General features: G+C 42.0%; 3 protein-coding genes across 48 annotated transcripts in view, besides 5 other annotated features; 2 read left to right on the forward strand and 1 right to left on the reverse strand.

Annotated features, from left to right (window-relative positions):
- Window positions 1-3,373, forward strand: part of PHC1 (polyhomeotic homolog 1) — a 27,625-nt gene extending 24,252 nt beyond the window's left edge. For 24 of the 25 annotated variants that reach the window (NM_001413738.1, NM_001413748.1, NM_001413751.1 and 21 more), the window contains one exon: window positions 1,211-3,373. In NM_001413738.1, coding sequence (NP_001400667.1) covers window positions 1,211-1,365 — 155 coding nt within the window. In that variant the 3' untranslated portion in view covers window positions 1,366-3,373. The remainder of the gene's footprint in view (window positions 1-1,210) is intronic. The other variant, NR_182209.1, reaches the window with a different exon arrangement.
- On the reverse strand, window positions 2,267-11,551 carry M6PR (mannose-6-phosphate receptor, cation dependent). Of its 17 annotated transcripts, none has more exons than NM_001414323.1 (8): window positions 11,394-11,551; window positions 8,622-8,730; window positions 8,135-8,293; window positions 7,324-7,490; window positions 5,707-5,816; window positions 5,311-5,441; window positions 4,322-4,448; window positions 2,267-3,846 (listed from the first exon to the last, which is right to left on the reverse strand). In NM_001414323.1, exons 5-8 carry the CDS (start codon window positions 5,803-5,805, stop codon window positions 3,724-3,726), a joined length of 480 nt encoding a protein of 159 aa, NP_001401252.1. In that variant the 5' UTR covers window positions 5,806-5,816; window positions 7,324-7,490; window positions 8,135-8,293; window positions 8,622-8,730; window positions 11,394-11,551; the 3' UTR covers window positions 2,267-3,723. The 17 variants fall into 17 exon arrangements, 15 of the variants coding, with proteins under 15 accessions (NP_001401252.1, NP_001401249.1, NP_001401251.1 ...); NM_001414320.1 differs by having other exon boundaries at window positions 8,135-8,311; NM_001414322.1 differs by lacking the exon at window positions 8,622-8,730.
- Window positions 10,815-11,720: an enhancer, noted in NCBI's record as "H3K27ac hESC enhancer chr12:9101505-9102410 (GRCh37/hg19 assembly coordinates)". NCBI's record gives its function as "activates a minimal SCP1, AML or CMV promoter by ChIP-STARR-seq in naive H9 embryonic stem cells {active_cell/tissue: H9 hESC(naive)}" and the evidence as "EXISTENCE:reporter gene assay evidence [ECO:0000049][PMID:30033119]".
- Window positions 11,721-12,625: an enhancer, noted in NCBI's record as "H3K27ac hESC enhancer chr12:9102411-9103315 (GRCh37/hg19 assembly coordinates)". NCBI's record gives its function as "activates a minimal SCP1, AML or CMV promoter by ChIP-STARR-seq in naive H9 embryonic stem cells {active_cell/tissue: H9 hESC(naive)}" and the evidence as "EXISTENCE:reporter gene assay evidence [ECO:0000049][PMID:30033119]".
- Window positions 11,931-12,145: a silencer, noted in NCBI's record as "fragment chr12:9102621-9102835 (GRCh37/hg19 assembly coordinates)". NCBI's record gives its function as "represses an EF-1alpha promoter that drives an FKBP-Casp9 reporter gene in an ReSE screen in K562 erythroleukemia cells {active_cell/tissue: K562}" and the evidence as "EXISTENCE:reporter gene assay evidence [ECO:0000049][PMID:32094911]".
- Window positions 11,950-26,725, forward strand: part of KLRG1 (killer cell lectin like receptor G1) — a 265,527-nt gene continuing 250,751 nt past the window's right edge. For 4 of the 6 annotated variants that reach the window (NR_137426.2, NR_137427.2, NM_001329102.2 and 1 more), the window contains exon 1: window positions 11,950-12,142. Coding sequence is in view for 1 of the 6 variants with exons in the window: in XM_047428075.1 (XP_047284031.1) it covers window positions 15,116-15,146 (31 nt within the window). In the remaining 5 variants the exon portion in view is untranslated. Of the gene's footprint in view, window positions 12,143-15,006; window positions 15,147-26,725 lie in introns of all 6 variants that reach the window. The other 2 variants (XM_047428075.1, NM_001329103.2) reach the window with 2 other exon arrangements.
- Window positions 12,124-12,253: an enhancer, noted in NCBI's record as "active region_5938". NCBI's record gives its function as "activates an Ori minimal core promoter by ATAC-STARR-seq in GM12878 lymphoblastoid cells {active_cell/tissue: GM12878}" and the evidence as "EXISTENCE:reporter gene assay evidence [ECO:0000049][PMID:35858748]".
- Window positions 17,735-18,934: an enhancer, noted in NCBI's record as "MED14-independent group 3 enhancer chr12:9108425-9109624 (GRCh37/hg19 assembly coordinates)". NCBI's record gives its function as "activates an origin of replication core promoter dependent on BRD2, BRD4, P300/CBP and CDK7 cofactors, and independent of MED14, by STARR-seq in HCT116 cells {active_cell/tissue: HCT116}" and the evidence as "EXISTENCE:reporter gene assay evidence [ECO:0000049][PMID:35650434]".

Below are 26,725 nucleotides of genomic sequence, written 5' to 3' on the forward strand. Positions count from 1 at the left end.
TTTCCTTAACATCATCCCACAGGGGCCTTGATAAGAGGGAAAGTAATTGACTTTTAAGCAGTAGGAGCTTGAATGCTAATATAGAGGCTCTACTCCTAATATTCAAGTTGACTTCCTAATTTTTTTCTGGGTTGACATTATCTTCTGTAATGTCAGCAATTTTACAGTGTTTGATTCTCATCTTATGATGTAGCTGCATTTCTCACTAAATTTTTGGATAAAATGTTTTTGTGTAATTAACTATGATACCTCCCATGGGGAAAAAATTTTTTTTTTCAGTGGAGCAGGGTATTAGAAACTAAGTGGCCATTGTTGCCCCACTCTTCAAAGAGGGCTTGTTTGCTAGTCTTCTTTTTTTTTTTTTTTAAACAGAGACAGGGATTCCCTATGTTGCCCAGGCTGGTCTTGGAGTCCTGGGCTCAAGAGATCCTTCTGCCTTGGCTTCCCAAAGTGCTGGGATTATAGGTGTGAGCCACTGCACTCAGCCTATATGCAATTTTGACAAAGAGTTTTTTTCGGAAATGAAAATCACCCTACCCTTCTTGCTATTTGTCTGAATTCTGGGCCCTTAAACAAAAATATCACAAAGAATCTTTTTGCCAGTATAAAAGAAAACATGCTTTTATTTCTGTTCTCTCCCTTTCCCCTGTCTCTAAGCTATTTGAATGAAGTTATTTCTGTGGTTGAACAATTTAGTTGCTTTTCCTTTCTTGGTCTTGGACTTTGGTTTTGTTGTTGTTGTTGTTTTGAGACAGAGTCTTACTCTGTTGCCCAGGCTGGAGTGCTGTGGCATGAATTTTGGCACACTGCAACCTCCGCATCCTGGGCTCAAATGATCCTCCTGCCTCAGCTTCCCGAGTAGCTGGGACTATAGGCATGCATCACCATGCCCAGCTGATTTTTGTATGTTTTGTAGAGTCAAGGTTTTGCCATGTTGCCCAGGATGGTCTTGAACTCCTGAGCTCAAGTGATCTGCCTGCCCTGGTCTCCTAAAATGCTGGGATTATAGGCGTGAGCCTCTGCACCTGGCCATTTTTTAAATACCAGTTGCTTTCTAATTTCATTTTGCTTTTAAAGCTTGCCATCTGACTTCATATTACTGAATTTAGGACAGGTACTTTGGAATTAATCATTGCTAGACCTCAGTTTCATTTAGCTTCCCTTCTCCTATCATCTGGCATTACCTACATGTTCTCACCATTTCTTCTAGGCTGCCAAGAGATTGCAGAGGAATTTCGCTCACAGGAGATTGATGGACAGGCCCTTTTATTACTTAAAGAAGAACATCTTATGAGTGCCATGAACATCAAGCTGGGCCCTGCCCTCAAGATCTGCGCCAAGATAAATGTCCTCAAGGAGACCTAAGGTGGCCCTCTTGCACAAACCAGCCTAAGGCAGACACTCTCCACTGTCCAGGTTATAACCTGGTACCAGCAGACTTTGCAGGGAAGAAAGAGTTGTTCCAATCATGTAACCTTCTGTAGGGGATTACTGAGACAGGGAAGAGAAGTGCAAGAATTGGTTGCTGGTGCTACATGGCGGCAGCTTTGACATTTTCTCTGGGTTCTACTTTATTTTTTAAAATCTTTACAGTTCTCACCATTTCACGTACCTTAATCCAATCTTTATAAAAGAGGCAGTCTAGAGAACTAGGACTGCTCAGCCTTATCCTGGAGTGGAGCATTTAGCCCAGGTCTTAATTCTCCAAGAGGAGGAATACATAGTATGGTAAGGCAAGGAACTGGGTGGAATGTCAGGTTGCCTGCCCAATGGGAGAGGTAGGGTTTTTCTAGCTTGTGTGACAGAAGTAGCAAAATCTGGTCCTCCCCCCTCCCAGTGTAGCTGTGGCTCAGAGTTTTTTCTTTTTGTTGTCACTTACTCCCTTGTGATTGAATTTTTTCTCCTGCATCCATGGCAGGATCCCCAGCCAGTATAGAGACTTGGTTGGCATCTTCTGCTGCAGGGACTAAAAGTATTTGACTGGGGCACATGTGGCTGTTGTCATTCTTTCTGCATCCCACTGTTCCCCTCCAATTTATGTTATTTTCTACCCTGTTTTTCAGTTCCATCTCTGCTCTGTCCTATAGCTTTATAAAACCAGAGTGTGTGGGGCTGAGGTCAGGAGTATAAGTACCTGCCTTAGGCACTATTCCTTATATAACAAAAATATTAAATATTTTTTTCCTCAGTAAAAGGATGAAAATTGGTTTCAGTTGTCTTACTCTATTCCAGTCTTTGCCCACTTTCACACAAATGACAAGGCCAATATGTTTTGTTTGTTTTTTAATCATTAAGAGTTTTTGTACAAAAGGTGATGGTTTTTTTTCTTCATTTTAAAACACCAGGGTGTGGGGGAGGGATGCAAACAAATAACAAAAAAGATGCTTTTGTAACATTATTTTCCCTGTTTAGAAAGAAAAAAATCACTCCAATAGTATTGAAAAGTCCAAAGATGAAATAGTTTCATTTTCTTTTCCTAAGGCTTATAAAAGGCCCCCTGCCTGTTGATTCCATCCCTCTTTTGTGTCCAGTGGAGCCATGTTACTCTTCAGTGGCCCAGGGGTTCACTATTAAAGAAAGATCAGTCCAGGTTTCTGGGCACATGGCCTAAACAGGAAGATGGAAGCATCAGAGGATTAAAAACCTTTCCCCACAGAAATGTGGGCAAGAAGACACTTCCCTGAGCCAGCAGAAGGGACAGGTGCAGCAGCATTCCACACCCAGCGCAGAGGACAGCAGAGCCCTCGATGTCCCACTTCTGCTTCCGTTCCCTTTCTAGAAGATTGAAAAAAAGGTCAAAACCACATGCCTGTGGAGAAAGTGCGACATGTTTAGAAATACTGGTAGGGAACCAGGAGTAAGAAAAGCTTTACCAGCTTTTACTACAAATGGATGAAAGACATCAGGATCCCACCACCGCAAGGTAAAGTGACTTCCCTTTTCTGGAACCCCTGTGGCACAGGAGTACCAATTTTCCTTTCCAACGAACTGGATTTCTGGATAGGCATTTTGGCTGTATGTGGACAGATAAGACCACAGTCCTTAGCCCAATCCCAGCTATACAGTCACCCCAATTTCCACAAATGATGTGATGGTACCGTATAATCCTGTAATTGGGAAATTTCACATTTTTCCTGTCCTAATCTCAGAGGTGGGAGAAGCAAGTCTAGAACATCTCCAGGCTCAGACTAAACGAGAGTACTTGGACTGCAACCAAGTAATCACTGCAAAGTAGTTCCAAGCAGCAAGAAATACCAGATTCTCATGGAGGCTACTATAGGGTACAGAATAACAACATGAAAGCAATCAACCCTGTATAAATAATGTTTCTTGGCATTTTTTTTTTAATTAAAGAAATCCAGTGTCTCAAAAACTTGTGAAAATGTGTTTAAAAAACAAACGGCCAGTGAGCCTGCTACACCATTTTGCCCATATGCCTATTGTAACTTCTGATGTCAAGAGACAATGCAAAAGCCTCTGTTTTCACAGGCCCTATTATATTAACTCTGACTTACAACTGTACCTCTCTAGAGAAAAAACAGAAAATAAGGAACAAAGGGAAGGCAGTTTTACTAGTGAGAAGATGCAAATCAAAAGCAAACTGGAAAGCAAGAGCAATAGTAAGGGTGAGATGAGGGACTGGAGTTGAGACTGCTTGAGAAATCTGGCTGTGTAGCTTTGGTTTGGGGGACTGAGGAAGAGGCTGGACATATAAAGTGCAATCTACATTGGTAATAAATGGTCATCCCTTTCTTCTGACTCCTCCCCCAGCTGGTCATCCCCCACACCACGATATGCTGCAGGCACATTTCGAGGTTTAGAACGGCAGACAAAGTCACAGCCATCCTGTAGGGGGAAAAAAAAGAAGGAAATAATTCGCAGCATCTAACTTTAGGATATGAGAAAGTGTACTTATGGTCTAGGAATGTGGCAAGAATTGGTTTTCTATAGGGATAATGAGAAAACCTAAAAGATCTGACAATCAGCCTAAATTCAATTTGGGGCAACAGGAGAAAAAGTTTCTTCTTATTAGGCCTCACCTTCTTCCCACCCAGGCCCTCTTAAAAGCTAAATCAGATTTAGAAGAGCCCATCTGGTCAACAGTGTTGCTCTTTCAGCAATGTCTTACCAAGGCCAGAAATGGATGCTGTGCCACTTACTACTCTGTACTAGGGCAACTGTCTTGTTTGCTGGGACTTTTGTGGTTTTAGCACTCAATGTCCTGTGTCCCAGGAACCCCCTCAGTGTGAACAAACGAGGATGGTTGGTCACCCAACCTTGTTTGCAGGCTACAAATTCAACCAGCTGCCCTGTTACTTACTGCTACCAGGTTGCCAAGATCCTGCCAGAAGGCTAAGTGGGGAAACTGCTCCATTCCTTTGGCTCCCACTACCAGTCGCTGGTATAGGAACCCCCCAACAACATAAACAGCAACCAGTGATGCAAACCTGTAGAGAGAGAAAGACATCTATACTTAAGAACTGGGAAATAGTAAAAACTCAGATAGGATAACCTCTGCATTTATTGTCAGCTGTTTCCTAAGATACATTCCCTGAAAAGGAAAAATGAGTAGTGATACTAAATGAAAAAGGGGGCTGGTAACTCTTAGAAAACCAGTTAGAGTGCTGTCAGTCCAAGAGAAGCAAAGGCCCAGACAAAATGTGACAGCGTGTGATTCTATGGCCAAGAATAATCACCATTAAGTATATGATTCCATTTCTCTAGAAGTTCTCATAATCTAATGAAATAATATAAAAATTGCCTAGTCCTGCAGTAGGGGAAAAAAGCACCTCCAAATGCAAATCTATACCGGCAACTAAACATTAAATCTCATTTTTCAAAAACTTGCAGTCAGAATTTTTTTTTTTTTTTTTTTTAGACGGAGTTTTGCCCTTGTTGCCCAGGCTGGAGTGCAGTGGTGCGACCTCAGCTCACTGCAACCTCCACCTCCCAGGTTCAAGTGATTCTACTGCCTCAGCCTCCCAAGTAGCTGGGATTACAGGCATGTGCCACTGTGCTGGCTAATTTTGTATTTTTAGTAGAGACGGAGTTTCATCATGTTGGTCAGGTTGGTCTCAAACTCCTGACCTTAGGTGATCCATCTGCCTTGGCTTCCCAAAGTGCTGGGATTACAGGCGTGAGCCCTGTGTCCTGGCAGAATTATTTTATAGCCAGAGGATTTAAAAAGTTATCCCCATCAATTACAGCATAATGTACACATACAATTTGTGCTTATGTACCACCATATAGTTACTGACCTTAAAAACAAAAGGAAGGAAGGTCTGTTCTGATAAAGGAAGGCATACTCACGTGACAAGTAAGATGGAACCCACACTGAGGTGGGAGATCTCTGGTGAACAGGCCAGGCTGCTATCCATCTCAAAGAGGTAGAAACAATCTTGGACTTTGCCACGCTCCTCAGACACAGGGTTAAAATTGTCCTGATGATGAGATGGCATAACACATTCAGGTGGTTAAGTGTTTTGACTCCTGTCCAACAAAATAAAAAACCCAAAAAACATCTGCTCCTTCCTGGTTCAGCAGCCTATTTTCCATGGAAGATGCGTGTCTGACACAGAGAGAAACTGAGCTCCTAGTTTTCTAATGTCCATCCCAACGTATCGTGTCCCCTCTGGATATTCTCCCCAACCTCAGGTCAGTCCTTTCAGTCTCCTCCCTCGGCTTATACAACACAGGGTGCCTCACCGCTAGGGTGTGTCGATTGCAGGAGATCATCACCACTGCACGACGCTGCTCCTTGCCACAGTGGTTGTCATATTCATCACCCCCTTTATAGATCAGCATGATCCAATTACCTGAGGAGGGACAAGGAAAATGGAGCTATGGGGTGGGGGAAAAGCAGAGGCAGATCTGGGTGGTATGGCAGAGTGGAATTGCGTAATTCATTGCAATTGGTTATAACTAAACAACCCTCATCAGTACGAACTTGGTATACCAGAAATGCCAAGCTAAACTTGTTTGCTTACAAAGACTTGTGTTCCCTTAAGACAAGAATCAGATATTCATTTAAGAATAATCTTAATTTTTAACATTAAAGGTAGGCAACTGACAATGCAAAACCAATTATGATCCATACCTTAACACTGATTCATTTTCTGAATACCTTCTAAAAGCAAAAAAAGAGGTTCCATACAATTGCTGAGCAGCAGGGGTAAGCCCATCTAAGATTTCAACTTAGCCCCAGATAAATTCAGAGTGGATATCTAAGATTGGAATGCATATCTCTTCTTTAGTATTTACTGTGTTCAGTTCTTTTGCAAAATATCATTTGATTCAGTAATTGTGAGGTGAATAAGGTAAAGATTCTGCTCCTAGTTTTGCATATGAGAAAACAAGGTCAAAAGGTGATACGACTTTCCAGTCACAGGATTAGGAAACAGGAGGAGAACCTGGTCACATGATCCCCAGCCCCAAACCCTTTTGTTACTTTTTTATTGTATTATTTACCAGGAGTAAATAGCTACCTTGTATAACTTATTTATCTGTATGGGAGGGAATTGGACCATAGGTGCTTACATGGTCCTCTCCAGCAATATGACTTTTAAGAAATATCACCACCATAGCACAAAAATCAGTGGGTAAAGTTTTGCAGACTGAGTAGTTTGCAAAAAAAAGTTTGAGCTCTTAAAATTTAACTGGTAAACTTTGATTAATTTGATGAAAAGTGGTGGTGGTGGTTGGTATTTGTAAGTCTAGTGTGAAACTCATTAAAAGTATTTGGGTGAATAAAAGGACTCTAGGCTACAGAATTCTGGCTAGAGTTGGCTGGGCGCGGTGGTTCATGCCTGTAATCCCAGCACCTTGGGAGGCCAAGGTGGGCAGATCACGAGGTCAAAGATCAAGACCATCATGGCCAACATTGTGAAACCCTGTCTCTGCTAAAAATACAAAAATTAGCTGGGCATGATGGCACACACCTGTAGTCCCAGCTACTCAGGAGGCTGAGGCTGGAGAATCGCTTGAACCCAAGAGGCTGAGGTTGCAGTGAGCCGAGATTGTGCCACTGCACTCCAGGCTGGGTGACAGAGAGAGACTCCGTCTCAAAACAAAACAAAACAATTCTGGCTAGAGTCTTCATTTTGCATAAGTTTTTCACTGATTTTAATGCACAACTGTCCTGAGCTGTGGCTTACAGAGGAGCTGTGGAATTAGGCATCCTGTGGTATATTACAGTCTCAGGTGTGCCGAACCACACGTATGATATGCTGAAGACACTAGAAACGGCCAAGACATACAGGATTGTCAGAGGGATTGACTTGGGATCAGTTAGTCAATCGATGGTAGGAAGGGGAGTTTTCTTACTTCCGTTGAAGATGTGAGTCTCGTTGAGTCTCCCTACCACTGTCTCCTTCCCATTACTTTTGTTGATTTGCACCAGGCCTGCCCCAGAAGTGTGGTTGCCAGCTTCCCGGCACACCCTGAAGATGTAGATGTATGTGTCTGAACCCTGGCCCACAGTGCTCTCAAAGCTGTAAAGAGAAGTGGGAAGAAAGAAGAGGAGAGTTACTAGCTATCAGCCTCAGGAATAACAGCATCCCTTTCCTTAATTAAAACAAAACAAACAACATGCTCGATTTATTTATTTGAGGTCATGGCTGAGTGAATATTTGTTTAATTTTAAGATATTCATAACCTTGACAGACCATCCTTATTGCTGATGATGAATTATTAAAACACACTTGAGCTATCTTGATAGCTCAATATTCTAGTTATTTTTAGAATGCCTGTTAGTAACCATGTTCCAATGAATAAGGGCCCATGTTCATCGGATAGTCTCGTTTCTTAGGGACCAACTTCAGATTTATATATCTGAAGGTTCCTGACACTTATAATGACATGTGTCGGCCTAAATATGTTTATCTGATATTTCTAAAGTCCTATTATATGTAGGTGTCAAATAATCCTTAAATTTCTACAAGCTGGTCTCTTGGATCCAGTCTTGGAAATAGCTACACTTCTGTGAAAGATGAGAAAACTGCACACAGCAACTAAAAACTGGGCTGAGAATTTGCTCTATGTCATAAAAGAGAGCACATTATGAAATAAAATCAGTAAGAAGAAAAGACTTTAACATAAATATTTTCTCAAGCTCTTTAAGGTTCTTCTCATTTACCTTTTATTAAACAGTGGTTTCAGCCTCTTCACTAGAGCCAACTCTTTCTCTGACTCTTTACCCTTTTCTCCTACCAAGTCGCAAGTTTTTTCTTCTGTCTGCCAGGATTCTCTCACTGCCACAGCCAGGAGTAGTAGTAGCAGTCCAGTCCTCCAGCAGCTGTAGAAAGGGAACATCCTTTGGGAGAGAGTGTGTGTTGGGGAGGGCAGGTAGGATCAGGAGAGAGAGGAAAGAGATAAAGCGTATGAATGTGTAATAAATCGATGGTATTTTAATTATCCAGAAAGTACAAGATTCTCTGGCATATGCAACACATAGTACATTTTAATATCTCTGTAACAAGAGCATCTGCAGCAGAAAATTCATTTATATGTAACTTGTAGTCTAATGTATAGGTGAGTCTTTCAGAACAAACTACAAAGTTGGGAAGAGGGAAATGAAAGAACTTAAAAAAGAATGATGACAGCTTGGGTGGAGCCATCCTTGCCTCTTTACTGTTTGATGGCTTGATGTAGTCTTCTGAAACCTCTTTGGCCTCTACAGGTCACAAATCTCAAGGGTTTCTAGACTTCCCATAAGTACAGTTGTCTTTTACACTACAAATCAATGACAACAAATTGGGGATCACCAAGCCACTTTACAATTGAGTAAATTCAATGCACCTGCTGCTTGTACTGCTCTAGGAATGAAAACACACAGACAGCTCTCTTTCCCAAACTTACTAGACTGGTGCAAAGGTCATTGTGGTTTTGGCAAAAAAACCCCACCAAAACCTAACATTTTCTTTTCTCTTATCCATCTTCATACCCAGGACAGACTGACTTACCCTTGCAAAACACTTTACTCTGGTATCTGTTAATGATCCCTCAGGCCATTGCTACTTGTTTATTCCAAGAGTATCACGGACAATTTCCTGATTTAACTCTTCTAAACTTTTCTCACTTACAAAAAACGCTGCAAGTCTGGACTTTGGTTTGAATATTCTTTAAAGTTCTCTAGTTCTTTTTCATGCGGGTCCACTTACTCCACCTCATTTTTAAAATATAAAACTTGAAACAGGCAGAATTTTCATGGGTACTAATGAGTTTGAAGATGGGAAAATGGAAGCTCCAACCTTGGCCGTGAATGCACTTTCCCCATTCCCCTAAACAACCTAACATCTGACCTTCCACTTCCCACACCCCACTAAAGCAAAAAATCCCGGGAAATTGTCTACCTGACTTCCTGTACCCCAAACATCAATTCTCTACTGTAATATTATGGTAGTTTCCATAGAATAATCATAGCTAACCAAGAGGTCCAAGGCCCTCATAACACATTTAATGCACTGAAACCACACAACAGCAGGAAACAACAGACTACTGCCTTGGGCCAGGTGCTGTTCAAAGCACTTAACATATATTAATTAACTAATTAATCCTCACAACCTTATGAGTAAATACAATTATTGTTGCTATTTTACCAGTAAGAAAACTGAGACACAGCTAGTGGAGTGAGCCAGAGAGTCTAGCTCCAGAGCTCATGGTCTGTGTTGAACAACTACATGTATATTTCCACTATGTGCATAACAATTTTTTGGAGATGAGAGTAGACAGCCAAAACTGTGGGTTTTTTTTTTTTTCTACTAAGAAGTGAAGGGGAAGTGATTCCTCACACAGTTGACTGAATAGGAGGTGAAATAAAGAACTCAGACCTCCAACTCCCACCTTCCCTAAGTTAACCCACTGCTCAACACACAACTTGACCAGCTGACTCACTAAAAAGAAATAGGAGACTCCTTCTTCTAGACTGACTTAGCCTGCCATTTTCCTTTCCAGTCTCTCAGGACCTAATTAAAAACTGACAGTTGATTTCTTTTCCTAAATTAGAACAAGGAATCTCACAAAATTAGGAAGGGATGAAAGGTTAAACACCTCAGCCATTAGCTGAGTTGAACTATCTTTCATTTGCTTATTATTCAAAAAGTTAGGATAATAAATTTATACTGTATTCTTCTTTCCTGCTTAAGGCTTGTCTTTAAATTTAAGCTGCTTCTCTTTAATTCAGTGGCATATGCGCTAAATGTTTTCCCTAGATTATGTTCATTCATCTTCACAACCCAGAAAATAGGTATAATTTTTCATACTTCACAGATGAGAAAACTGATGCTTTACAGAATTACTTGTTAAATTACTTGCTGTACATTACACAGATATTAAATGTGTGTGAAGTTACTGGGGCAATTTAGACGATTCGTGGCATAAAGATAACTGCTGGAAAACTTATAAACATAGGGGTGCAACAATCAGGAAGAGAATGAAATGGAAGGGCCCAGTAGCCCCCTTTTAATATGCTACAATTAGATTCTCAAGGTACAAGAGTTTGTCTATATACTTTGGAAATAAGGAGCAGGATTTTATGATCTTGAAAAATCTTTCAGTTTTCTTATTCTCTAACGACAGATCTATTTTATTTGGCAATGCTAAAAATTATCCTTTATTAGGGTGGCCAATGACTAAGCCAGCAACTGGGAAGCAGCTTACACCACTGGGCCTCTGTAGCACTCACTTCCCCATCTGTTAAGACAGCCATGGCCATTTACCAGTGGAATTTCTACTGTCTTCCCGCTGGCTCCTTTCTGATGTAGCAGTCCTTATCCCTTTTTCTCCAGCAGCCTACATGTTTAGAAAAGCAGCCTCAATTGGCTAAAAGGCCTAATGCTGAAAGAACTCAAGAGAGAAGGAGCCTCAGACAAGTAGCGGCTATGTCCCAAGAGCGGAAGCTCCCCACAACGAGGAACACAAGATAATCCGTCCATCAGCCATTCTTATCCACACCACAGTCGCATCCCCCTCAAAGCTCTCCCAGGGTGCCAGAAATTCTCGCTCTGTCTAGTGTCCCGACTTTCCAAGCGCTTGTAGCCATACCCTCTCCAAATGATGCCACTTGACCTCCCACCGTGATGCAGGCCAAAATTCCTCCTACAAATAAATCCACCAACACCTCCAACGGACTCCATACTTGGGGTATTTTCCTTTCCCTGCTTTCTAAATATCGTAAATCCCCTCTCTGGTCTTGGAAGTCCTTTCTCCCTCACACCTTTCGGAACTCCGTGACTCTCCGCTCTCATGCCTCCGCCTCCATTCTACCCTTAGGGCTCCTCAGCCAGATCTTTGGCTAGAACCATGGTCAAGGGAGAATGCGATTCCGGCTCCTGTCACAGACGCTTAAGTGTGAGCGCAACCCAGCCCGCCTCCTCCTCCACGCCCCTCACACTCACGTGTCGTGGGAAACTGGAGTAGCCAAAGCTCAGAATCCCCAGTGAATACCCTTCTGGGGATGGGAGACGGGGCCAGCTAGGGGCCGGCCGCAGACCCCGGTCCCAGAGCTAGTTTCAGAGGCCAGCGTTCCCCCTAGCGCCTCGCTGTGCCCCACTCTGGGAACCGGAAACAGGAAGCGCCAAGAGGCCGCTGGGCAACCGCTCCTCCCACCAGACCCCGCGGCATGTGACCATAGAACCATTTCGCCCCTTTCCCCTTCCCGGGCTCCCTGATAATCTTAAACTCTGATTGGCCAGTATTCTGGGACTTTAGCTCCGCCCTCGTTCCATCAGCTCCAATCACTATCGAGGTTGTCGTTTCGCCTTTTCTGGTTGCCTTTCTTTCAATGGGGTCCCAGAGTCCCGCTTCCAGGGCCTCTCGGCTCGCGCACCCCGGTCACGCGGGGTCACGCGCCTGACCGCTCCCGGGTAGGGTTCGAGTGAAGAGGGTGAGAGGGGCAGGTGGCGGAAGCGGAAGTTACGCAGGCAGCTCGCCCTCGGGCTCCGCGGGAGTTGTAGTTCTCACGCTAGGTCTCCTCCGGGCGCTTCCCTAGCCCGTTCGCCGCCTGAGAGGGACGCTGTTCCGCCGCGTGGAAGCTTCGAGTCTCGACTCCACTGTTGACCCCTAGACGAGAGTAGTGCAGCGACGGGGCCGTGATGTGCGTCCTGGCTTTCTTAACGACACCTCTCCTCTGTATTTCCTTTTTCCAGTTGAGTACCTTGGGGTGAATTATTATTGTTACTGTTATCTCTGTCGTTCCTTACTGCTTCGTGGTATTTTGCTTGATAAGCATGCTCTGCAACCACCTCTGTTCGCCAGAGGTTACTTCTGCAAAGTAGGAAGAAACGAGCAATACGATGGTAATCTTTGCGCCTTTGCTAAGATCTTTTGTAGGTTCCTTATGTCTTACTAGCCACTTGTTGAAGTCCTGCTCATTCTTAAACTCTGTTCAGATGTTATTTTTCCTGTAACTTCGTGCATTCACTCTCTTCAGAATTAACAATTTCTTCCTGTGGACCCTCGCTTGTGGCTTGTACCTGGCTTTAGCATGTTTTCATTCCGCTTCCACTCTTACGTTGCTTCTATGTGTGCCTCTCTGGCTCTATGCAGGTGCCTGGATTTTTGATTCTTACCCCTCTCATTAGAACTACTACAGTGTTTTGAGTCTAATAATAATAAAAGCTAACGGATGCATATCTCGGTGGTGCCCGGCACTTTTGTAAGTGCTTTAAACGATAGTTAATTCACTTGGTCTTCACACCAACCTTATGAGGAAGTATCTTATCCCAAGTTTACAGATGAGTAAATTAAAGCAGATAGAAGCTAAGTAACACCGTGGGTCCCAAGCTATTAAGTTATGGAGCCAGTATTTAAATAGTCTCCATAATCCATGCTCTCAAGCACTACGCTTTACCGACTGTATGCCATTCTGCATTTCTTTGTTTATTAGTAATACATTCAGTTCAGGCTAGGTAGTAATCATATCTGGGTTGGATGTTGCCCCAATAAAAAAAAAAATTAAATTTTTTTCTTCCTGAAAATGAAAGTAATTTGTGATCAGATAACACAGAAAACAACAAAACAAAAATCATACATAAACTCACCAGGAGGGTGTGTATTTCCTTCATGAATATATGTTGTTTCCTTTTTTCAAAAATGTATCAGTCCCACACTGTGGCTCATGCCCGTAATCCCAGCACTTTGGGATTCCGGGGCAGAAGGATCACTTGAGGTCAGGAATTCAAGACTAGCCTGGGCAACATAGTGAGACCCCTTCTTTCAAAAAAAAAAATCAGCTGGGCTTGGTGGTGCACACCTGTAGTCCCAGCTGCTTGGGAGCCTGAGGCTGGAAGATTGCTTGAGCCTGGGAGTTGGAGGCTGCAGTGAGCTATGGTCTTGCCACTACCCTCCAGCCTTGGTGATAGAGTGAGAACCTATCTCAAAAAGATATGTATGTATCAAATATTTTTCCATATCCTTGACTTTACAAATAAACTTTTTAATAGCATAATATTTAGTTCTATGCATTGCTACTTAACCAATGACATTAATGTTGAGCATTTAAGTTATTTCTACTGACTTATTTTTTATCAAGTAACTCAACACAGCTTTACTGAGCAATTACTATGTGCCAAAACCACAGAATATATAATATAGATCTTGGGGATACAGCAGAGAAAAAAGACAAAAATCCCTGTTACAATCCGTTCTAGAATTGATGTTCCTTTGTTGGTTAATTCAAGTTTTGATTTCAGAAATCTTACCTCTTGGTGACTGCCTAGAGTGGCATTGGGCTGGAGGGGAGGAACTGTTCATGTTGGAAATGGGGAATGGGCCAAAAATGCAATTGAGTAGGTTGATTAACTTGTCTGCTGTCAGAGTGGAAGCAGGGGTAGTTTCCCTTTCCGACCAGAGGCAAACAACCTGGGTCACTTCCTTGCTTCTCAGACCTCAGTGCCCTTTCTGGGTGCTTTCTGTGTTAGAATTCTCACCTCTGAGAACTGAGCTCAAGGTTCTTGCTGGGGCAAAAATTGAAATGAGCAGAATTTTTTTTTGTTTGTTTGTTTGCATTTCTGGCCTGCCTCCTTTCTTAGCCTCATTATTAACAAGCACACTCCCCACAATAAACCTACACCCACACTGCCTTCTCTCACACAAGGTAAATTGTTCACCTTGTTTAGAAAGCAGTTCTAGGATTGTTGGTCTGAAATCAAATGGGAAGGATGCCTCCTGTTCTGTATAATCATAAGAGAGGAAGGTAATTAACAGTCCTAGAACCTCAGCTTCCCAAGTAGCTGGGACCACAGGCGCAAGCCACCATGCCCAGCTAATCTTTGTATTTTTTGTAGAGACAGGGTCTCACATTTTTGCCCAGGCTTGTCTTGAACTCCTAAACTCAAATAATCTGCCTGCCTCAGCCTCCCAAAATGCTGGGATTACAGGTGTGAGCCACTGAGCCCGGCTCAGATGCTTTTCAAAATGATCATGTTTTCCATATTTCAAGGACTAAATATAGTTTTTGGTAACTTTCAATTTTAATATATTTATCATTTATAGAGAAGATGCAAGGATAATACAAAGAACTCTGGTACACATTTTACCTAAATTCATCTTTTTCCCCTCCATATACATTAGTTTATTTTGAACAGGTTGAGAGTAAACTTCCATTACCATTAAATATATCAGTGTGTATTTCCTAGAAACAAGGACATCCTCTCATCAAAATCAGGAACTACAGTATTAATACAATATTACCAAATCCATAGTCTGTATTCAAAATTTTATCACGTTTCAATAGATGCTATGTATAGTTACTTCCGATTTCCCAACAATCACAGGAGCCAAGCCAGAGTCACACATTGTAATTAGTTGTCATTGATCTTACTTGACTTTGAAATTTTGATAGGTACTGGCCACTTGTTTTGTAGAATGTCTTTCATTTTGGTTTTGTTTGATATATCTGATGTAGGATTTTTCTCGGTCACTTTGCCAACCAGGGACCCGTCCATAGCTAGTGACACCCCCCCCCCGCAAAACCCCCAGGCCTCACTTGACCTGCTGCCTGTGTTATAGTTTGTATCTGCATTCGGTGGTTCCTGAACTCTTGTCCCACATCCAAGAAGAATGAGGATATGCTGACAATTTGAAGGATGAGAAGGATGGAGAAGAATTTTATTGAGCGATGGAACAGCTCTCAGCGGAGAGGGGATGTGGTAGGTGGAGGTGGTCCCCCACCCCTGCAGTCAGGTGGTTTCTCACCCAATGTGGCTAGGTCTGGGCATTTATGGATTCAGAATGGAAAGTGTGTGCTGATTGGTTTGTGAGTATGCAAAAACAGTTAAAGTGAAGACACCACTCAAAGGTGGGCACGACAGTGTAGAAAACCAATTAGGAAAGGGTAGGTGTATATAAAATGGGTGAAAGGTGGGGATCAATCAAAGAAAAATGTGCCAAATGGGAAGACAGGTTTTTAATCCGGTCCATGGATTTGACTTGTAGCTTGGCTTTCAGGCTTTAAACTGTCTTCAGCTTGGAGATGGGGTTTCACTGGGGATCTGCCTAGGCATTTGTCTGCCTCCTGCGGCTATCATTTCCTCATGATTATATTTAAGTTTGCATTTTTTTTGGATAGAAATGCAAGGGAAGTGATACGTTTTTATATCAATCAGGGTCCATTCAGAAACAGATATCATATTGGCGATTTTAACAGGAAAAATTTAAAGAATTATTTTCTAGTAAAAGATGATCAGTTACTAAAAGAGGACTCTATGATACAGAAGAAGCAGCTACGAAAAGGAGCTGTTACTTCTAGGGCTGAAGAAGAGTTAATAAAGGAGTTACTTAAGTTAAAGGAAATGCTCCCTTCCCCACCTGCAAGATTAGAGATTCAGATCTCTGAGGGGAGGGTGTGTTTCCTACCACAGGAACATGCAGTCCACCCACTGATGAGGCCGAGAAGTTGCGGGAGGGTGTGGGCCTCTGTTGAGCAGCCAGTGGGAGCCTTTTAGTGGTGCCTCCTTTATCCTTTTGACATGTCCATATGATTTTTTGAGGAATTCTTTACTTTCAGGCACATAAGATGTTCCGATTTTATCTTGTAGCATTCAGCATGAATGGACCTGGAGGACATCATGCTGAGTGAAATAAGACACACACAGAAAGAAAAATATGATATGATATCGGTTGTATGTGGAGTCTTGAAAAAAATCACCATAGAAACAGTGTAGGAAGATGGTTACCAGGGGCGGGGTAGGGGAAATGGGAAGATGTAGGTCAAAAGGTACGAAGTTGCGGTTAGATTCTAATGTTCTAGTGTGTAACATAAGGACTATAGTTAATATTGTATTGTATACTGGTACTTTGCCAGGAGAGTAGATTTTAGGTACTCTTACCACCAAAAAAAAAATAACTACATGAGATGATGAATATGTTAATTTGCTTGACTGAAGTAATCACTTCACTATGTATATGTGTATCAATCAAAATATCTTGTATGCCTCAAATGTATATTTTTAAAAAGTTTTGTGGTTCTCTTACCCTTATCCTAGAATCAGTCATTTCACCAAGGGGTCTTGGTTCTTTTAGTGGAAAATGGTATTGAAAAACCAAGATGTGATTACGAGTTGTGTTTGTTGCTACTTGTGTGTCACTGCTTCAGTGTCAGCAGACAGAGCTAGGAAATTGTTTATTTCCAAGAGTGAACCAAGTTCCCATTATATTCATTGTATGTATACATTTATTCACATATAAGAAAACACAGGAAGTGATTTTTTAACTGATAAGCCATACGATGTGTGAAGCAAGCCTACTAGTAAGAGTTCCATATTTGTTTAAAGTTCTGGTTTCTCTTGTTAAGGCAAAATATATAAGTCATGAAATGTACAACTCTTTTTTTTCTTTTTTTTTTGAGGCGGAGTCTCGATCTCTTGCCCAGGCTGGAGTGCAATGGTGCGATCTTGGCTCACTGCAACCTCTGCCTTCTGGGTTCAAGCTATTCTTCTGCCTCAGCCTCCCGAGTAGCTGGAACTACAGGCGCCTGCCATCATGTCTGGCTAATTTTTATATTTTTAGTAGAGATGGGGTTTCACCATGTTGGCCAGGCTGGTCTCGAACTCCTGACCTTGTGCCGCCCACCTCGGCCTCCCAAAGTGCTGGGATTACAGGCGTGAGCCACTGCACCTGGCCGAAATATACAACTCTTAAGGATACAATTCAATTTATTTTGACAAATGCATCATAACTGTTATCTGTAATCAAAAAATTTAGAAGATTTTCATCATCCAAGAAAATTTCCTCATGCTCCTATCCAGTCATCTTCTCCTAGTCCTAGAGGCAACTATTGCTCTGATTTTTTTTTTTTTTTTTTTTTTTTTTTTTTTTTTTTTGAGATAGAGTCTCTATCACTCAGGCTGGAGTGCGATGGTGCAAACATGGCTCACTGCAGCTTCGACCTCCCAGGCTCAAATGATCCTCCCAGCTAGCCTGTGGAGTAGGTGGGACCACAGGAGTGTGCTACCATGCTAGGATAATTTTTTTTTATTTTTTGTAGAGATGAGGTTTCCTTATTTTCCCCGAGCTGGTCTTGAATTCCTGGGTTTGAGTAATCTTTCCACCTCAGCCTCCCGAAGTGCTGAGATTACAGGCATGAGCCATCAAGCCTGGTCTTTTGAATTTTTCTTTTTTTTAAATTATAGATTAATTTTGCCTATTTTAGAACTTAGTATAAATGGACAGATACTGATAGTGGTGGGAAGCAGACAAATTCCTAGGTAGATACGGGCGGGTCCCTGGTGAAAACCAACCTTCGAGTCAAAGACCGCCGGAAGCCTGAAAACTCACCTGCCAGTTCTGGGTAGAATCTAAGACCCAAGTGAGAACTCCCGCAATGCCTTTTAGCCAATCAAATGGTGCTTTTTCCAGGCTGCCTATGGACCAATCAGCACACACTCCCCCATTCTGAGCCCATAAAAACTCCCGGACTCAGCTACACAGTGGGACTACCACCTTTGGGTCCCCTCTCTGCTGGGAGCTGTTCTGTTGCTGAATAAACGTCCTCTCTGCCTTGGTTACTCTGCAATTGTCAGTGTAACCTCATTCTTCTTGGACGCAGGACAAGAACTCGGGACCTGCCGAACAGCGGGTGCAAAAGAACAGCAGGTGAAAGGCTGTAGCCCTCCTGCCCTCTCCTGGCACCAGGCGGCCACCCCACGTTATGGGAAGTGGTGGTGGCGCCAGGCCAGCCCAGGAGCCGTGGGCTGGTGGGACTGAACAAGTTGGGACATGCCCCCGTTCGGCAAAGCTTGTGGACAGCAGGAATGAATGAACTGTAACACAAACGAGCTGAGACTCTTCGGGGTGCAGACCTCGGGATTCCCCAAGCCAGAGCTGTAACATGCTGTAACACCCCCCACCGCATTTTTTTTTCTTTTTCTTTTGAGACAGAGTCTCACTCTATCACCCAGACTGGAGTGCAGTGGTGTGATCTTGGCTCACTGCAACTTACTGCCTCCCAGGTTCAAGTGATTCTCCTGCCTCAGCCTCCTGAGTAACTGAGATTACAGGTGCCTGCCACGACTTCCGGCTAATTTGTTGTATTTTTAGTAGAGATGGGGTTTCGCCACGTTGGCCCGGCTGGTCTCGAACTCCTGACCTCACGTAATTCTCCCACCTCAGGCTCCCAAAGTGTGGGGATTACCGGCATGAGCCACTGCACCTGACCTTTGAAGTTCCGCAGTTGCTGGTGTCTTTTGAGTTTTTTGGACGCCACTGCGTTCCCTTCGTTCATATGCCAGTGCCCAAGGCAGAAGCTGCTTGCAGTATACCTGATCCAGCCACAGCTTCACATGAAGCTGGTGCCTGGAGGTGATGCCCTGCTGTAGCAGCTAGCATACCTGGCTTGCCCTTGGTGGGTGTGAGATCTGGGCCAGTACCGCTAGCCAAGAGCCAAGCACAGCCTGCCAAGCCCAGTGGGTGGAGCCAGCCCAGTGGTCACGAGTGAATCTTGATCTTGAGCAGGGCCCCCCCGGCCGTGGAGGTCTCTGGCTGTGGAACACCACCAAAAAATCCTGTGTCAATAGCATGTTCCTTTTGCATTTGTTTGATTTCTTTCACTGTAATATCTGTGAACTTGTATGTATCAGTAGTAGGTTTTGTTTTGTGTTTTGGTGGGGTAGTATTACATTTTATGAATACAGTAGCCCTCCCTTCTCCTCAGGGGACATGTTCCAAGGCCCCTGCTGTAGACAGCATCTAACCCAGTTGCCTTCAATGAGAATATGTTTCTGTTCATATCTTCCACCCACAAATTTAATGCCTTTTCTGTCTTAACGAAGCACTTACCGTGGCCCATGGCAGTAACTTCTGCAGTTTGAGTTGCAACAGCAAAACTAGCACACATTCTTTTCCCTTCTTCACAATTTAACAGATAGAGGATTTATTCTTACCATAGATGTTAGCAACCTCGGAATACTTGTTTTGTTTTTTGTTTGTTTGTTTGTTTTGTTTTGTTTTTTTGTTTTTTGTTTTTTTTTAGTAAGTCAAGAACCTTCACCTTTTTATTTAAAGGAAGCACTTTACACTTCTCTTTGGCATGTCTGCATAGCCAGCATTACTACTCTTGCGCTTTGTGGCCATTATTAAGTAAAATAAGAGTTACTTGCACTGCAGTACTGTGGCAGTCAATCTGATAACTGAGAGGGACACTAACGGGCAGGGAGTGTCCCCAGCGTGTTTCCACTGGATGAAGGGGTGATTTATGTCCCAGGTGGGATGGAGCAGGACAGTGCAAGATTTTATCACAGTACTCAGAACAGCATGCAATGTAAAACTTATGAGTAGTTTATTTCTGGAATTTTTCATCTGATATTTTCAGACCTCGGTTGACTACTGGTAACTGAAATTGTAGAAAGCACACCTGCAGATAAGGGTGGGGAACTATCGTATTTCTCATCTTATTCATTCCCTTTTGATGGGCGTTTGGGTTCTATCTGTATTTTCTTCTAAGAAGCCTTATAGTTTTATGTTTATGTCTGTAATTTATTTTTAAATTTTTTTAGAGACAGGCTCTTGCTATAGTACCCAGGCTGGTCTCAAACTCCTGGCCTCAAGCTCTTCTCCCAACATGGCCTCCCAAAGTGTTGGGATTACAAGCATGAACCAGTGTGCCCGGTCTGTGATCTATTTTGAGTTAATTTTTGTGTATAGTTGAGGTAGCACTGAGGTTCCTTTTTTTCCCCATATGGATATATAATGACTTCCTATAACATTGTTTGACTATTTTTCCTCTCTTAATTGCGTCAGAGCTTTGTTGAGAATCAGTTGATTGTATAAATGTAGTTCTGTTTCTGGACTTAATTCTGTTTAGTTGATATCTTTATTATTAAGCTAATAACACACTCCTGATTCTTCTAGTTTTATATTAAGTCTTGAAGAAAGGTATTATAAGTCTTTCTTCTCTTTTCAAGATTGTTTTGGCTATTCTAGGTCCTTTGCATTTCCATATACACTTTAAAAGCAACCTGTCAATTTCTGTTAAAAAATCCTGCTGGGGCAAGGCATAGTGGCTCACGTGTGTAATCTCAGCACTTTGGGAGGCTGAGATGGGAGGATCACTTGGGCTCAGGATTTCAAACCAGCTTGGGCAACATGGTGAGACTCTGTCTCTACAAAAAAACCTAAGAATTAGCTGAGCGTGGTGGCTTGTGCCTATGGTCCCAGCTACTTGGGAGGCTAAAGTGGGAGGATCGCTTGAGCCCAGGAGGTCAAGGCTTCAGAGAGCCGTGGTTGCACCACTGCACTCCAGCCTGGACAACAGAGTGATACCCTGTATCAAAAAAAAAAAAAAATCCTGCTGGGGTTACAATTGGGGTTGATATGAATCTGTAGATAAATTTGGGGAAAATTGACATCTTAATGTTGAGTCTTATAATTCATGAATATGAAACCACCTTTGCAGAACTATAAGTAATGAGAGAAGTCTAATATGGTTGACTCCATCTTGCTTCCAACCTCTCAAGTTAAATTGTTTTTTTGTCCATTCTAATGTGGGGGCCAAGATAACTATAAGAGGAATTTAGTTTACAGTTAAAACCACATTCATAAAACAAAGTTAAAATTATGGTAGGGGCTTGAACTTTGCTGAAGAATAGACATAGTTGAACAATGACCCGCCATTACTTAGCTTGTTTTTGTTATATAAGTTGCTTACTGCCCCAGAGTCTTGTATCTGGGGTCGCAAGATTTAGAGCTTCTCCAACTTCTCCTGTAGGTAATATTACTATTGTAAAACCTGAAGAACTGGTCTTTGAGACATTTTTCAGATTTAGCATTTCAGGAGACCAAGAGATGCCACTTCGTCCTGAGACCGCTTCCCAGGAAATGACCTGGCTGTGTGAAAATGGTTTTAGACACCCCTGCAATTTCATCCCCAGCCAATCCGTTGTTTCAGTTCTCCAGCCCCCTGCCTGCCAAAGTAGTAGTTAAAAAACTCTAGCCTCTGAACTCTTGGGGGGATGAGTTTGAAAAGTGTCTGTCGTTCTCCTCACTTGGCTGGCCCTGCAATTATTAAACTCTTTGCTGCAACACCTGCTGTTCTCATTGTTTTTTTCAGGGCAGCAGGCAAGAAGAACCCCTCGGGCTATGACAAATAGGGTACAACTCTATTTATGTAGGCCTTAATTTTTTTCAGCAATGTTTTACAGTTTTCAGTGTAGAGGACTTACGTGTCTTTCGTTACATTTGTCCTGAAGTGCTTTATTTTTTGATGCTTTTATAACTGAAGTTATTGTGAAAAATTTATTTTGTGAATGTTTACTGGTAGTATGTAGAAACACAATTGGTTTTTGTATTTGTAACTGTATTCTGTTAGTTTGCCACTTATTTTGGCAGTTGCTTTTTAGATTTGTTAGGATTTTATATTTAGACAATGAATTTGTCTGCTAGTTTAATATCTATTTTCAGACTTCTGGATTCTGTTCATGATGGTATAACTGGGACTGGATTTATTCTTCTATCTTAAACAACTGGCAAACTGGGAAAATATATGGAACAATGGCTTCCTGATATTGGACAACAGGTAACACAAGACAGTGATTCCTGAGAGGAGGGGAATAAGTTAGGCGAGCCCCACAATTCCCCCTACTTAATGCATGGAGAGACTATCCAAGGTGCAGTGCAGGAAGGGGGAACCCAGACAGAGCCTGCCAGTTTCACTGAGCTTCAGAGGGAGAGAGTGTGGAGTTTGAGAAGACTAAGGCAAAGACTAAGATTTGTGGGTCAGAGTACCAGAGAAAAGAGAGATGCGCAAAGAGTGAGCTCTAGATAACTACAGAGGAATCCTCTCAAGCCTTTGGTTGAGTTCTGAGCTGAACCACTTCAAAGGAGTAGGCAGAACAACTCTTAGATCTCACACAGTGCTAGGAATAGTGTTTTCACCTGCCAGAGTGGAAAGATGTTCTTAATATATGGGATTTTCAGTAAAGTTCTGAGAAGACTTTTGACTCACTAGCGCATTCAAATTAGTTCTAGACTTACATAAAGCCCTGATAAAGCTTTAATATGGTGGGAAGCATGGATCCATGGATTGTTCACATTTTTGCATGTCTTTCAAGCAGAGGCCCTAACTGACCTTTTGTTCCAGACTATCTTTTCAAGAATATCTGAATAGTGAACAGCCTTAGAATACAGAAATAGTGTCTCCTTCTGGGGCCAAGGGCAGATTTGTTTATTGTCCAGTATAATAAAGGTCATGTATCCTTTTGGGACAAAATATAGTACTGCTTGTAGCACATTATAAAAATTCAGATTCCTTAAGCTCAAGGGAGATTCCCTAAGGTCTCCTCTCATTTGACCCACTCAATGTTTTCTGGTAGTTAGGTTATTTGAGGGGACGAGGTGTAGGAGATGGCAAAGAAGAGGAGAAAAAGAAAATTTCTACCCTGATTATCAAAGATACCAAGAATGTCATCTCCTTTAATCCCTGTACCAACTCAGCAAGTTAGGTTTCATTATTATTTCCATTTTACATAAGGAAACTGAGGTTCACAGACATTAAACTGCTCAAGCTGTGATGTAGACCCACTGGTTGCACAGCATCCATCTGGCCTTTTCCATATTGCTGCTTTGAGACTTGGGAGGCAAGAAAAACCAATGCAAACAGGAATCTCATGTTGCTTGCTACACTGTAAATAGTAATGTCCTTTGCCTTTGAGCCAGGAGTTTTGTGTCTTTAGCTAATATTTGTGAAACTTGGCAGGTTAATGTGTTTGCTCAGAAGTAGCATAAAATCTCTGATTCTTCACAGTTCTAGATAAAAAACAGGCCTCAAAAGGATCAAACTGATAACAGGTAACTGTGTTCCATAAAAAGAGATGGCAATTTTTATTTATTTATTTATTTATTTTTAGAGACACAGTTTTACTCTTGTTGCCCAGACTGGAGTGCAATGGTGCGATCTCAGCTCACTGCAACCTCCATCTCCCAGGTTCAAGTGATTCTCCTGCCTCAGCCTCCTGAGTAGCTGGGGTTACAGGCACCCACCACCATGCTCAGCTAATTTTTGTATTTTTTTTTTTTTAGTAGAGACAGAGTTTCACCATGTTGGCCAGCCTGGTCTTGAACTCTTGACCTCAGGTGATCTGTCTGCCTCGGCCTCCCAAACTGGGATTACAGGTGTGAGCTACTGCCCATGGCAGCGATTTTTAAAAGAACACAACAATATCTGGCACTCTGTAGCATACAATTCACAATGTCTGGCATCCAGGTAAAAATTGCCACACAAGCCAGGTGTGGTGGCTGTCGTCTGTAATCCCAGCGCATTGAGTGTCCAAAGTGGGAGGATCACATGAGGCCAAGAGTTTGAGACCAACCTGGATAACATAGGAAGACCTCATCTCTACAAAAAATTTAAAAATTAGCCAGGCATGGTGGTACGCACCTGTAGTCCCAGCTACACAGGAGGCTGAGGTGGGAGAATTGTTTAAGGCCAGGAGGTGGAGGTTATAGTGAGCTGTGATCCTGCCACTGCACTCCAGCCTATGCAACAGAGTGAGACCCCGTCTCTTGCCAGGCTTGCTAAGAAGGAGGTAAATGTGATCTATAACAAGGAGAAAAAAAATTAATAGAAAGAGACCCAGAAATCACAAAGCTGATAGAATTATCAGCAAGGATGATAAATCAGGTTTTATAAATACACTCCATATGTTCAGAGAATAGAGGAAAATTGAACATGGTGAAGAGAAAAATGGAAGATATTCAAATAATATCTTCTAGAAATGAGAAGTGTAATATCTGAAATGATAAGATGAATATATGATGGATGGGATCAACAATGATTAGAAACTGCTGAAGGAAAGATTAGCTGACTTGAAAACGTATTATCAGAAAATATCCAAAATAAATACATGGAGGCTAGGAGTGGTGGCTCACACCTGTAATCCCAGAACTTTGGGAGGCTGAGGTGAATGGATCATTTGAGCCCAGGAGTTCAAGATCAGCCTGGGCAACATGGCAAAACCCCATCTCTACCAAAAAAATACAAAAATTAGCTGGGCTTGGTGGTGAACACCTATAGTCCCAGCTACTCAGGGTGCTGAGGTGGGAGGATAGCTTGAGCCCAGGAGGTGGAGGTTGCAGTGAGCTGAGATCACACCACTGCACTCCAGCCTGGGTGACAGAGCCAGACCCTGTTTCCCAAAAAAAAAAAAAAAGAAAGAAAGAAAAAAAGTAAAGGAAACAAACAAAATAAACACAAAGGGAAAACAGAAGATACCTCCCCCAACCCTGAAAAGATCAGAGCTTCAGTGACCTGTGGTACTACGTCAGTCAATCTAACATGTATAATTAGGGTTTCAGAAAGAGGACAAATTTGGCCCAAATTTTTCCAAATGAGATAAAAACTAAAAACTCATAGATCAAAGATGCTCAGTAGATTTTAGGCAGAAGAAACATGAAAAATTATATATACTGAGCTACATTATTAAGCTGCTGAAAGTCAATGATAAAGAGAACATGTTAAAAGCAGCCAGAGAAAAAATATATAATGGCATAGTTTCTTTGCATCAGAAACTATGCAAGCTGGAAAAAGTTAAATATATTTAAAACACTGGGGTGAGTATGGAAAACCCTGTCAACCTAGAGTTCTATGCATTCAAAAATACCTTTCAGAAATGAAGGCAAACTCAATTTTTTTAACATGAACACATGCTGAGAGAATTCATTGCAAACAGGCCACTAAAAGATATATTAAAGGAATTTTTTCTGCATGAAGGAAAATAACACCAAGGGAAAAGTTAGTTTTATACAAGGTAATGTAGAACATTTAGAAATGTTGAACCAGCCTTGCATCCCAGAGATGAAGCCCACTTGATCATGGTGGATAAGCTTTTTGATGTGCTGCTGGATTCGGTTTGCCAGCATTTTATTGAGGATTTTCGCATCAATGTTCATCAAGGATATTGGTCTAAGATTCTCTTTTTTGGTTGTGTCTCTGCCAGGCTTTGGTATCAGGATGATGCTGGCCTCATAAAATGAGTTAGGGAGGATTCCCTCTTTTTCTGTTGATTGGAATAGTTTCAGAAGGAATGGTACCCAGCTCCTCTTTGTACCTCTGGTAGAATTCGGCTGTGAATCCATCTGGTCCTGGACTTTTTTTGGTTGGTAAGCTATTGATTATTGCCTCAATTTCAGAGCCTGTTATTGGTCTATTCAGAGATTCAACTTCTTCCTGGTTTAGTCTTGGGAGGATGTATGTGTTAAGGAATTTATCCATTTCTTCTAGATTTTCTAGTTTATTTGCATAGAGGTGTTTATAGTATTCTCTGATGGTAGTTTGTATTTCTGTGGGGTCAGTGGTGATATCCCCTTTATCATTTTTTATTGTGTCTATTTGATTCTTCTCTCATTTCTTCTTTATTAGTCTTGCTAGTGGTCTATCAATTTTGTTTATCTCTTCAAAAAACCAGCTCCTGGATTCATTAATTTTTTGAAGGGTTTTTTGTGTCTCTATCTCCTTCAGTTCTGCTCTGATCTTAGTTATTTCTTGCCTTCTGCTAGCTTTTGAATGTGTTTGCTCTTGCTCTTCTAGTTCTTTTAGTTGTGATGTTAGGGTGTCAATTTTAGATCTTTCCTGCTTTCTCTTGTGGGCATTTAGTGCTATAAATTTCCCTCTACACACTGCTTTGAATGTGTCCCAGAGATTCTGGTATGTCGTGTCTTTGTTCCTGTTGGTTTCAAAGAACATCTTTATTTCTGCCTTCATTTCATTATTTACCCAGTAGCCATTCAGGAGCAGATTGCTCAGCTTCTATGTAGTTGAGTGGTTTTGAGTGAGTTTCTTAATCCTGAGTTCTAGTTTGATTGCACTGTGGTCTGAGAGACAGTTTGTTATAATTTCTGTTCTTTTACATTTGCTGAGGAGTGCTTTACTTCCAACTATGTGGTCAGTTTTGGAGTAGGTGTGGTGTGGTGCTGAATAGAATGTTTATTCTGTTGATTTGGAGTGGAGAGTTCTGTAGATGTCTATTAGGTCCGCTTGGTGCAGAGCTGAGTTCAATTCCTGGGTATCCTTGTTAACTTTCTGTCTCGTTGATCTGTCTAATGTTGACAGTGGGGTGTTAAAGTCTCCCATTATTATTGTGTGGGAGTCTAAGTCTCTTTGTAGGTCACTAAGGACTTGCTTTATGAATCTGGGTGCTCCTGTATTGGGTGCATATATATTTAGGATAGTTAGCTCTTCTTGTTGAATTGATCCCTTTACCATTATGTAATGGCCTTCTTTGTCTCTTTTGATCTTTGT

Source organism: Homo sapiens, chromosome 12, assembly GCF_000001405.40.
Source record: "Homo sapiens chromosome 12, GRCh38.p14 Primary Assembly".
In the NCBI taxonomy this organism is placed as follows: Eukaryota; Metazoa; Chordata; class Mammalia; order Primates; family Hominidae; genus Homo; species Homo sapiens.